Below are 12,794 nucleotides of genomic sequence, written 5' to 3' on the forward strand. Positions count from 1 at the left end.
CTGTACGCTGCAGCTGGATTCGTTTTCCAAACATTTTATTTCAAAATACATTTCTCTGTTTAGAAGCACCCAGTTGCCCCTCTTGCCTGGAACTGAAATCTCACCATTGTGACCTGATGTTGGAAACTTGCCCTGGCTTCTGGGACCTGGCCCTCTTCGTCGGCCTTGTGTCCCCCCGAGCCTAGCACAGTGCCTGGTTCACAGCAGGCAGTCAGTAAATGGCCACTGAGTGAATGAATGAGGAAATGCAGATTCCGCCAACATTTACTCATCGAACTTCTTTGTTCTTCTTTCCACGAGAATTAAAACCTTAAGTTTCTCATTTTTAAAAATGGTCATTGGCCGGGCGTGATGGCTCACGCCTGTAATCTCAGCACTTTGGGAGGCCGAGGCAGGCAGATCACCGGAGGTCAGGAGCTCGAGACCAGCCTGGCCAACATGGCGAAACCCCATCTCTACTAAAAATACAAACTTTAGCCGGGCGTGGTGGCGGGCGCCTGTAGTCCCAGCTACTCAGGAGGTTGAGGCAAGAGAATCACTTGAACCCAGGAGGCGGAGATTGCAGCGAGTCGAGATCGTGCCACCGCACTCCAGCCTGGGCAATAGAGACTCTGTCTCAAAAAAAAAAAAAAAAAAAAACATTGTCATAGTGGCAGGCACAGTGGCTAATGCCTGTAATCCCATAATCCCAGCACTCTGGGAGGCTGAGGTGAGTAGATCACTTCAGCCCAGAAGTTCAAGACAAGCCTGGGCAACATGGGAAAACCATATCTCTACAAATACTCGCCTGCTTCTGCCACTCTGCACCATCAATATAAATAATAACTAATTCACAATAATCAGTCATGAAAGAATAAAATGGAAAACATGCCAAATGCAGGCCCCTGCTTTGTTATCACTGCATGCCATACACATAAAGTTCTCTGTCACGTGACTACAGGAGCATCTCCATTCCTGTGCCTCGTCCTCAGGTATCAGACGCAAGCCACTCGCGGGCTGAAGTCAGCCCACAGTCCTCCTTGAAGTCAACAGAAATGAACTACTGAGCCACGAGGGGCCTAGACCTGGGATCCGCCAGCGTTTTCTGTAAAAGACCATAGAATAAACATTGTAGACTTCCTGGCCATACAGTATCTGTCCAGCTCCTCAGCTCTGCTGTGAATGCCCAGCTCTTCCATGGTAGCACAGAACCTTATCACCGTGCAGGTGCACACGAGGCTGGGCTCTGGGTTCCTGTGAGCTCTGCCTACCAACTCAGGCAGTAGGGGGTGGGGGGCGTCCAAAGGATGTGCACAGATTGCCAGCACCAGGCCCAGCTGCTGGAACATCCTCATAGCTTTACTCACATCTACACGGACGCCTTAAGTTCACCCCATCAGTGCAGGGAGACAGGGGCCTTCAAATGTGATGACACGACACTGCTGTGGCCTGTGCTCTTGGAAGCCTGCAAAGGCCAGCACACCCGACCCTCCTCTGCCTCACCTCCTGTGCCACCCCATCCTCACCTGCTTCCCCAGCCTCTCCTCATCCACACCTGCTCGGCCCCTCCTCCACCGCCTCCCTCCGGCCCGCTGGTCCTTACTGCATCCCCTCGGGCCCTGCACCCTGCCCTCTGCTCCCTGTGCCCCCCATGCCTGCTCTCGCCTTGTTTTGCACACATTCTGTCCTCTTCTAGGGTCTCCGCCCCCTCCCCTTCCCTGATTAACTCCTGCCTGTCCTCACTGTAGGTCATGTCCTGAGGGAAGAGGGCCCCAGCCTTTCTAGCAGGAAAGGCCAGAGCCTTAGGCCTAGGGAACCAGGAAGGGAGCAGTTATTAGTTGCCCCTGGATACAGAATCTGCCTAGATGCATATATAGAACTGGTTCAGACTTGGCACAATCTCTTTCCCTCTCACTCTTTCACATTTGCAATTCAAAGAGAATATACAGAGCCATTTGTATTATATAAAGTGATTATTGCATTGAATTTAGACTAGAGAAGGCATTTGGAGATCGTTTTAGTAAATTATCGTAACCAATCTAAAAATACTTCTGAACTGTCAACCAGAACACAGAAATCCTGTATTACTTGCTGTAGTCTGGACAGTTTAGGGGAACGTGGCACCGATCTCATCTTCACCGTCGATCAGTGGTTCTCTGACTTGGTCCAGTGGCCGCACACCAGCTAGTGAAGAAAACCACAGACTCCAACTGCACTGTGTACGCTCTGGTGTCCTCATTTCCAAAAAAAAAAAAAAAAAATCTACAAGATAGAGTTTAAGAAATCTCATTTGAGTTGCCCTGCTAATATTTGCAGCTCGCTGGTGGGTGCCGTGGAGGCCAGTACTCACCGTCAGGCTGTGGCAGGTACAGTGAAAGGAAAAACTCCATGAGAGAACGGTGGAAAGTTCACCTGAGAGTGAAACGCATGCCAGTTAGAGTGGCTGAAAAATAGCATGGACAACACCAAGTGCCACGGGACGTGCAGCCGTGGGACCCCTCACTGCTAGGGAAGGCAAGATGGCACGGCCACTTAGGAAGACAGCTTGGCGGCCTCCTACAACACTAAACATACTCTTAGGTACAACCCAGCAATCCAGTTACTGCATTACGCTCCTGGATATTTCACCCAGTTATGCCGAATGCTTATATCCACACAAGAATCTGCCCAAAGATGTTGATACCAGCTTTATCCATAGTTGCCAAAAACTAGAGGCAACCAAGGGGTCCTTCGATAGGTCAGTGGGTAAACACACTGGTAATGTGGACAGTAGGATGTTCAGCATTTAAAAAAAAAACAACTATCAACCCCTCAGAAGACCTGGAGGAAACTGAGATGCCTGCAGCCCAGGGACGGCTGGTGGCTTGCAGCAGGTCACACGGCTACTCAGGCGTAGAGCCTGGCCTGTCTGAAGCTCAAGGCCCAGCACCCGTTCCTTTCCTTACACATAGAGTTTCACTAGGCACGCACACGCTGACTCTGGATTGATGAAGAAACAGTTTGGGAATTTTTAACAGCATCGTTCACATTTTTAATGCCTGCCTCCTGCCTGGCACTGTGCTCAGCACTTTCATGTATCTTCTTTAATTGTCACATCTGTGAGGTGGGACAGATGACCTCAGCTCTGTAAACTCAGCCATTGCTGAGCCTGCAGTGTGAGTGTGAGGCCACATGTCAGAACCCCGGAAGACACAAGCCCCACTCTCCTGCCTTCAACACAGCCCCCCACACCGCCGCTGTGGCTGGAATTGGAGCAGGTCGTTAGCTCCTGCCTGAGGAAGCCCAAATAAAGGACTGCAGAACAACTGTAGTGCAAAGCTGAGACTCATTGCCCTCCTAGGCGTTTCATGAGCAGGTCCTGAGTTCTCTGTGTCCCGGCGTGGAGTGCAGGAGGCGTGGAAAGGGAGTAGTGCGTGTGTGAGTTAGTATACAGAAGAAGTGTGTGGCAGGCTCTACCACACGTTTTTAAAATATGTAAACTCCTAAACTTCTTGTCAGAGAAGCGCTTGGCATGCACACAAAATCATTTAGCTAATTCTTGAGAAACATATTGTTTAATTGTCTGTCTCCCTTGCTAGATCATACCACTAATGAGTGCTCGTTCACTAACCTCCCCGCCAGCCTTGCAGTCTCTGTCAGGCAGGAGGTACTTAAAGCATGTTTATTGACTGGCTGCAGAAATGAGGACATCTACCGTATTCAAAGATAGTGCCCGTTACATTGAGAAAAGACAGAGTGAGCATCCACTTTTAGCTTCTTAAAAGGTTTAAACATTCTGATCTTATTTTCCCATTCATTTGCCTAATGGCTGTCCTTTCTGTATTGCACAAGGGCAAAGATAAACACAAGAGTCTGTACGAATCAGCCAGTGTGTCAGTACCAGCCAGCCTTTCCATGTTGAAGCCGTAACGTTAAGTGATGTGAAAGTATACTGTGCATTGCCACACGGGCCTGGAACATGTTGTGTTCACCCAGTTCATTGATTTTTTCATATTGATAAATTAAAATTATGAACATATAAAGCCAGTTATTTTAGAGTCATATGCAAATCTTACAGATACAAATAAATATGTCCAACACATAGCATAAAATTTCCTTATTGATTTTAAATTGACAGAAATCTTAAGATAATCTTGCTAAAAAGGAAACCAGTCATATAGATTGAGAGATGTGCGGAGCTTTCCAATAAAAAGCCTCTTCCCGATGTTCTATCGGTTGTTGAATTGTAATGTTTTTATGATTTGATCGGCTTGAACTGTACCTCACGCTTGGCTCTCTTATTGCCTAATTACACGTGCAGCGTTGACAAATGGCATGCCCCTCCGTGCCGTCAGCACACTGACGTTGTCACCATTACTAACGGCTGGCTGGCGCTGCTTCCAGCAAGGTGAGCAGCTGTGGCCAGTGGCTATGCGTTTGGGTCATGGATTCCACCATGCCTTGCATGTGTGTTTGGTCACATGTTCTGCCGTGTCTTGCAGAGCTGCAGAAACTGGAGGGCAGCAGTGGACCTGTGCGGACGTCTCCTCACAGCCCACGGCCAGGGCTACGGCAAGAGCGGGCTGCTCACCAGCCACACGACAGATTCACTGCAGGTGAGAACACCTTTCAGGTGCTGGAGTTTAACCTGGCTTATCACAGTCTGGGGACATGGACAGGACCATGGCCTTTCATGCCAATAACAAAAAGTATGTTTTCATATCCTGCTTCTTTCTCTCCTAATTATATTGTATATACTATACTGGGGCACTGGAATTCTCACTTCGGCCCGTCAGGATGCCTGTGCGCCCCAGAAGCACGCTCACAAGTGCCCACACTCAGTCTCATGGTGGAACCGGCATGGCTTTGGGTCAGCAGGTGGGTTCGCCTCACGACTGGCAGTAGCAACTGGCCTGTGCGGGGCTCTGGGGCGTGTCTGGGCCCGGTAGGAAACAGTGACAGGAGCAGTTGGTTCTGTCCACCCCAAGGACGGAGGGTCCATGTGCCATTTGCTCCTCGTGGTATATCACTTGCTCTGAAATTTAAAAAAAAAGAAAAAAGAAAAGGGAATGCACAAAATAGACTTGTGAACAAAAGGAAACTCATCTGAGAAGAAGGAACAGCTGCAAACGTTGATACATTCTTACCTTTCCCTGGGGAGTTTTTTAACTGTTCTTCTAGCTTACATGGGAATCCCCCGGGACTAAACAGATCACCAGATCCTTCAGAACTGTGATGAGCTTTTGAAAGGAGCAGCTCTGGGGAGCCCTGACAGCTTAGCTATTTCCAGCAGGCTCCTTCTCCTTCTTTCTCTTCCCCCAAGAGCCGACAAGAAGAGCCGCTCTAGCTTTAAATGTACTTTCCCCCATCACCTCTCCATCCATTGGTTTGCCAAATCTTAGGCTGTTTTCCTATCATTTCTCTCCAACCCACCACCACCCACAGTTCGAGCTCTCATTGCAGTGTTGCTTTGGCCTCTTTTATGAACTTAGTTCAAGTTTCTTTATTCACATTCATTCCATAAACTACCTCCAAAAAAGCACACTTTTGATCATCTCACTTTCCTGCTGGAAAACTGTGCCCGGCGCAGTGGCGCATTGACTGTAGTCCCAGCTACTGGGGAGACTGAGGCAGGAAGATCACTTGGGCCTGGGGCTTCTGGGCCGTAGTGCACTTTGTTGATCAGGTGTTGGCACTAGCTCAACACCAATATGGTGACCTCCCTAGAGCCAGGAACCACCAGGCTGCCTAAAGAGGGTGAACCACCCTCCTTTCCAACTAGGTCTGAAACGGAGCTAGTCAAGAGCTGGATAGTTTCCCATTGGCTACCATGTGAAATTTCATCTTCTCGTGTTGTATGCAAACCCTCAGACCATGACAGGCTATGTGTACACTATGGAATGGTTAAATCAAGCTAAATCGCATGCATTGCCTCGCATGCCTTTGTGTGTGTGTGTGTGTGTGTGTGTGTGTGTAATGAGAACACTGAAAATCTGTCTTAGCAATTTTTAGTATACATTGTAACTGTGTCACCACGTCTACAATAGATCTCTTGAGCTTATTCCTTGCGTCACTGGATTTTGTTTCCTTTGACTAACATCTCTCAAACCTCCCCTGCCCGGCCCTCCTCCCCACCCCCAGCCCCGGCACCCGCCATCTACTCTGCTTCTGTGAGTTCAGTGTTTTCAGATTCCATGTGTAAGTGAGGTCACACGGTGTTTGTCTTTCTGTGCCTGGCTTGTTTGTCTAACGTCATGTCCCCTAGGCTCATCCACAGCACAAACGACGGGATTTCCTCCATGAAAGCTGAGTGGTATTCCACTGTGCGTCATGCCACGTTCCTTTATCCGTTCATCCTTCAGCGGACACTTAGTGAAATTCATTCTTCTCATCAGTAAAGTCAGATCCAATTAGGTCATTTCTAAGGTACCCTTTTAATCCTAAGTCTCTGGCTCTGCAGCTGTCTAATGCAAATTCCCACCATTTTCCTGAATGTACCCCTGAGAGCACACTGTGCTCTCTCGTATGTTGTGTTTTGTCCACTCTGTACCTTTGTCCTTACGTTCCCTGAACCAGCAGACCCTTCCTTAGCCTGTGGCCCCTTGAAATTCTGCAGCCCTGAGAGCTGCCCTCAAACACAACCCATCCCTGCGCTTCCTCTCCTTCCTGCTCCCGTTCCCGCCGTCATTCCCCCGCCCTCCACTAGGTGGCGCATTCCTTTGGTGCCTTTTCATTTTCATGACACCTAGCACAGTGCTTTGCACACAGACCTGCTCAGTAAGCACTGTTTACTTATTGAGTAAACAATTATGTAAAATCATTCACATTGTTATTAAGCTCAATAGTAATTTCTTCTTAGAGACAGGGTCTCGCTATGTTGCCCAGGCTGGACTCAGACTCCTGGGCTCAAGCAATCTTCCCACCTCAGCCTCCTGAGTAGCTGGAACTGCAGGCATGAGGCATCATGCCCAGCTTCAAGAGTAATTTTTTAAATACGATTGTGTAAATATGCAAAGATAGAAAGTTAGGTTAGCCCTTATTTTAATATATGAGAAATTAACCTCTAACACCAACTCATAAGGAATAGCAAATTCTGAACTGGATATATGTAGATAACCTATTGTTTCCATTGTATTTTGTTTTTAGCTCTGGTTTGTCAGGCTGGCACTACTAGTGAAGTTGGGCCTTTTCCAGAATGCTGAGATGGAATTTGAACCCTTCGGAAATCTTGATCAGCCAGATCTTTATTACGAGTACTACCCGCACGTGTACCCTGGGCGCAGGGGTAAGGCCATGGTATTTAATATTTGTACATTTGTCTGTGTGTCGCTCTGGTTTGCTTTGATTTATACATAATTTCGTAGCCTCAGTTTTCCTTATTTATCCAGTCTTGAAAAATCAGATAAGTACCCAGCAACAAGCCTTGACTTACAGAATGCTCCCACTCCGATTTACCGAAACACTGACCTGGAGGTGCTCCCTGGTGCATCTGTTTGTACATTTAGCAGCTACGTGTCAAGCACCTGCTCTGTCAGGGCAGCATGATTTGGTGCAGGGGCCGGGTAGTAGACGTCTGAGCTGCGCTCCACAGGGAAGAGCCGTCCCATATCGGGACCTGGCGCACAGAGATGCAGAGCGGTGGAACCAAACGTGTCCGTGCATATGGCACACGCCGTGACATTTTCCGTTTGTCTCTATTCTGATTTAATTTATTTTAAAAATCTGGTTGTGGTTCACCCTTTGGGTCACGGTCACGACCATTGTTTGGAAAACACTAGGCTACAGCATAGGGTAGTTCTAGGAGAGTGACAAGAAACCACCAGTTGGGAAGGGAGAAGGGCGGGTTACGGAGAGCCTTCTGCAGCACTGGGAGCCTTGTGCAGTGTGCGTCTCTTGGTGGAGAACCTCATAAATATGTTTGAAGCCTCTCATGTGTTCTTAAATAGAAAACAGTCCTGGCAGGATGTCTTGTGAGGGCAGTGTAAGCAGCTATTGAAAGCCCACGCCCTGTTGTCAGGCATCCCCAGTTACATCCTGCTTCCCCCATTGAATCGCGTAGCCTTGGAGGAGTTATCTGACATCTCTGTGCCCCAGTGTCCTTATTGGTAAAACAGAGATGCCAATCCTCCTTGCTGCCTGGGTTGTCCTAAAGATCAAATGATGTCACGTGTAAGTTGCTTGGAATAATGGCTGCTATCTAGTACCAACTGTATTTGCTGGTTTTCTTACTCTCTTCCGAATGTATCAGTAACATGGGAAAGTCTCGCACTGCCGCATTTTGCAGGCTCGATTGTCAGCATTTGTTGGCTGCAGCAGTGGAGCTACAGAGAATGGTCCTAGTTGTCAGGAAATGCAGAGCCTGATTGGAGGTAGAAAATATTTAAAACCAGTGGTACAAGAGATGCAAAGGCCTGATTAATAATAAAATAATAATTCCTATAGAAGTCTCAGAAAATTTAAATAAACATTCTGTTGAACTTGGTTGATACTAGTAGGTAAATAGATGAACTAAAAAGGCTAGAAGTAAAAACAAATCTTTGAACTTCTTTGTGTGTTGTTTTTTTGGTTAAAACTCAGCTCTGTTTCTTTGGAGGGGCATAGGAACGAATGTAGACGCCGGCTTTCTTTATTCCCCATGCTCTCTCCTTTATCATCTTTACCTTCCTCCAAGTAGGACGGGTGGGAATTGGTCCATATTACTCTGAGTTATCCCAGAATTGATGGAGATTTTTATCATTTTTAGTATAAAGTGTTTTTTGACCTTTAGTCTCACTGGTATTAAAATTGTTTCTTCCTTCTGACTAAGGGAATTTGCCCCTTGTGGAAAAGAAAAAATGGGAAGGGTAACTTTTAATAACTAAAATAGGGCATAAATCAAAGAGATTGTCTTGATGGAGCTGGCTTGATTTCATGGAAGTGAACCAACCAAGCTAGGTAGCCACAGAGTCAAGAAGGACCAGCAACACCACTATCACTCTCGGACGTAGGACTCTGTGTCATCCAGGGACGTAGACGCCAGTCCTTAATGTGTGACACTTCCTGCCCACCCACTGGCCTGTCCAGTCCTGCTGGCCTTCCACATGACCAGGAGGAACAGACCAAAGCCAGGACCGCTTGAGGGTGCGTGTTCAGGAGCTCTGTCTGCCGTGGCCTGGCCAACAGGTGGAGGAAGTGGGGCCAGAGGAGTCTCGGGAACTTGCTGAAGGGCCCTCACTGGTGTTGCTGGCCAAGCAGGCCTTCTGTCCCCAGGAGTCTGGCTTTTGCAGCCATGGGTTGGATAAAGATGTCTTTACCTCTTCCCTGGGGTATTTCTTCTCCTGCACTCCAGCCTGGAAGCTGCTCGGTGGTCGTGAGCACTGTCCTCGAGGAGCAGGGCTTTATCCATCCTCTCTCCCCCGGAGCAAGTCTCGTCTACGTCCCTCCCAAAGTTCCGTCCAGTCCGCACGTAGGTGGTTCCCACATCCGCTCATGAGTTGGAGAGATACAGCCATGGCTGGTTGTTCAAGGGCTACTGTTCTACCTTGTAAATTAACTGGGCTCCCTGATTCTGTCGTGTCCCTTTCTTGTCTCCACTTCATCGCCAATTTGAGGGTCATCCTTTCCGTGTAAGACCGAATTTCCAGCCCAAAAAGAATGGGGAGCCTGTCACTTGGTAGGTTGTGAAGAAAAGATGGAAAGGTTAAAGGCATTGTTAATTGGGGAAGTTTGAGGGTGTTTCTGTTTAATCAGTTATGCCTGGTAGCTATCATAGTCAAGAAACAGCTGTTTTCCTATTTCTTACACGGATCAGCCTTGTTTTCCCCCATCCCAGCATAAATAAAACCATCTCTTCCCTCTGCCTGACTGCAGCCTGAGCATCGCCTCCAACCCCGCCCTCCCACGTGGTTCATAGTCCCGGGAGGGGGCTGGACCCAGGTCTGTGGGACTCTGCCTGGGCCGGGGACTGGAACTGGGACTGAACAGCTGGTTTTTTAGGCATTTTGTCTGCTGCTAACAGAAAACTCAGGTCATTGAGCACCCAGGCCTTAATCGAAACCACCAGATACCCTGAAGCGCAGAGCTGCACCAAGTGCTCTGGTTTCTTTTCCTACTGAGGTCCGTGTGAATTATAGATTCAAAATGACTCCTCTTACAACACCTGCTTCTGAATTTATGACAGGTGTTTAAGAATGAGTGTGACTGAAAGGCAGATGTTTCCTATCATGACCAGGTAAAAATATCCAGCTTGGCTGGGTACAGTGGCTAATGCCTGTAATCCCAGCACTTTGGGAGGCCGTGAAGATCTCAAGATCTCTTGAGGCCAGAAGTTCGAGACCAGCCTGGCCAACATGGCAAAACCCCCATCTCTACTAAAAATACAAAAAATTAGCCGGACATGGTGGTGCACACCAGTACTACCAGCTACTCAGGAGGCTGAGGCACGAGAATCTCTTCAACCCAGGAGGCGGAGGTTGTAGTGAGCCAAGATCATACCACTGCACTCCAGCCTGAGCAACAGAGTGAGACTCTGTCCCACAAAAAAAAAAAAACTCCAGCTCCCATTGGTCTCTAACCTTTACCTTTGGCCATTCAGGAATGCCCAACATCGCCTTGTGTATCCTATTTTACAGTGTGCTGAAGACTCCGTGGCACTGTTTACCCATCTCTAAGGAGAGGATTTTGATGGAAATGACACTGAGTGCCCTTTAAGATAGCGAATGAAAATCTGTGGGTTTAGGTGGAAACTGCCTGTCATCTTTCCTCACTTTGAGGACATTTTTTCCTAAGGACGTTCAGTCAAGCCTAGAAAACATGCTTTGATTCTTCCTGAAATTAAATTGCATTGGTAAATGGATAAAGAGAAGACAGCAGCTACGCATCATTGAGAAGCTAATTTAAATTATGAAATAGACATAAATCATACATACATTTTAGCAAAAGCGTATTAACATTCATCCTCAATAATATGCTGGATGTTTACTAATTTTTCTTCCCATTTTGTGGTGTAACAAAGCATAAATGTAAGATTTTGATTCATTCACTTCATTTTCGCTTGCAATATATAAGCAGAGCAAGTTGTTAAAATGTGCTTTAAAAGGAGGCTATAATTATAAAAACTTTTATGAATGAGCTTTAATATATTTCATGTAAATATTGGGCGTAATTTTTGCCCATTCAGAATATTCATAACAAGACATGTAATGAATCATGTGTAAAAATCATGAAGGTTTTTTAAAAAAAATTCATCCAAGAAAGGAACAGTATTATGGTTGATGTATTTACATGTCAAATCTAGCAATTTCAGTCAGTTCCTTTCAGCCACCCCCAAAGCCCAGCCCCGTTTCTGACCCTGGCGCTGTGTCTTTCACTTGGTTGTTTGGAGACTCCCTCCTGCACACAGGAAGAATCCCGAGGACTACGTGCCTGGGGCCGACCCAGCCCCGCGCCCCCGGAGCTGAGGTCTGTGCGGTTCTGGGTGGGGCCCCCAAAGCCACAAGAAGCCCAGGTAGCACTGACTCTGACCTGGGTGTCCTCTCTTGATTTTCCTTTCTTGCTCCTCAATCTCCACCCCCTTTTCCTCTGTTCCTCTTCTACTGCATTCGTTGCTTCTTCCCCTCTCAGACCCTACATCCATCCCTAGAACCCAGGGCCCAGCTTCATCCATCCCCAGCACCCAGGCTGCAAGCGGGAGAGGTGGAAGCTGCTTGCATCAAGCCTTTTATCAGAGTTCCTTTCGTGGGTTGTGGGGTAGTCATTGAAAGCTCACATTTGTGTTTAGAAGCCAACTGGCTGGGGGTTGTGAGCAGATTGTCCACATCTTTTCATTCACTGGAAGTCCTCTGTGTCCCTGCAGGACACACTTAAAGACTGTGTGGCTTTAGCTCCCTCAGACTTCACACATAACTTGGCAACTGAGCTGTTCTGTCTAGAATTGTCATGCAGCTTCAGGAATTCAGAGGATCGGCGTTGGTCATACTGGTGGAAGATGTCAAAACAAGAAGAATAAAAATAGTGTGCAGAAAACTTGCTCTTAGCCACTGTCTTATCTCTGAAAATTGAACTTCACTTGCATAGTGATACCCTGTATCATGCATCTCCAGGGACAGAAAAAAAGATAAGTATATCTTAAATTTGCCTTTCCTATTCGCGTTTCTCTGATTTTGAAACAGAAGTTCCCTATCCGTGAATTCTTCAGATAGTTGAGGTAGAGTACTCTTGCATTGCACAGGATGTCACTGTTGTTTCCAGATGGATTTGTGCAAATTCAGATATTTGATTTTTCTATGTTGCCCACGTCTATTTACTGTTTACTTTTACTTTACTTTTTTTTCTGTTCTAATAGCTTTTTAATAAAAGCTATTTACTTTTGTTCTAACCCACTACTTCCGTACCTTATGAGAAAGTCTGTTTTGGGATCTGGTTGAATCTATTCTTTGCTCAACAAAAATTGATGTTTATTTAAATACAAATATTAAATACTCGGACCATTAACAAATATTTTTTCATATTTGCCTTAGACATTTTTGTAACAAATGAAAGTACCCATTGCTGATACAGCCTGTGAACCTCCTCCCAATTCAGTCCCCTCCCAGAGGCAGTCACAATCATGGTTTGTTGTGTATTCTTCCAGGTCATGTTTTTACATATTTGCTTCATACACACACATATACATACACACAGAGAAATACATATACAGAGAGAGACTATTGTCTTATAAGCTTTGTAAATGTACATCATGAGCATATCTGTCTTCATTTGCTTTTTTTTCCCCACTTTCCATTATTCATATCCATCCATATCCGTATCCATAAGGATGAACAATTAGGATCTTTCCACCTTTCGGCTATTATGAGCAA

General features: G+C 46.6%; 1 protein-coding gene across 15 annotated transcripts in view; it reads left to right on the top strand.

The window, feature by feature from the left end:
- Positions 1-12,794, top strand: part of TRAPPC12 (trafficking protein particle complex subunit 12) — a 99,872-nt gene that overhangs the window by 37,727 nt on the left and 49,351 nt on the right. For 11 of the 15 annotated variants that reach the window (XR_426956.4, XR_007076381.1, XR_001738761.2 and 8 more), the window contains 2 exons: positions 4,461-4,574; positions 7,105-7,243. Coding sequence is in view for 11 of the 15 variants with exons in the window: in NM_016030.6 (NP_057114.5) it covers positions 4,461-4,574; positions 7,105-7,243 (253 nt within the window). In the remaining 4 variants the exon portion in view is untranslated. Of the gene's footprint in view, positions 1-4,279; positions 4,367-4,460; positions 4,575-7,104; positions 7,244-12,794 lie in introns of those variants that run through there. The other 4 variants (XM_011510350.3, XM_047444637.1, XM_047444639.1 and 1 more) reach the window with 2 other exon arrangements.

This window comes from Homo sapiens, chromosome 2, assembly GCF_000001405.40.
Source record: "Homo sapiens chromosome 2, GRCh38.p14 Primary Assembly".
NCBI classification, from domain to species: Eukaryota; Metazoa; Chordata; class Mammalia; order Primates; family Hominidae; genus Homo; species Homo sapiens.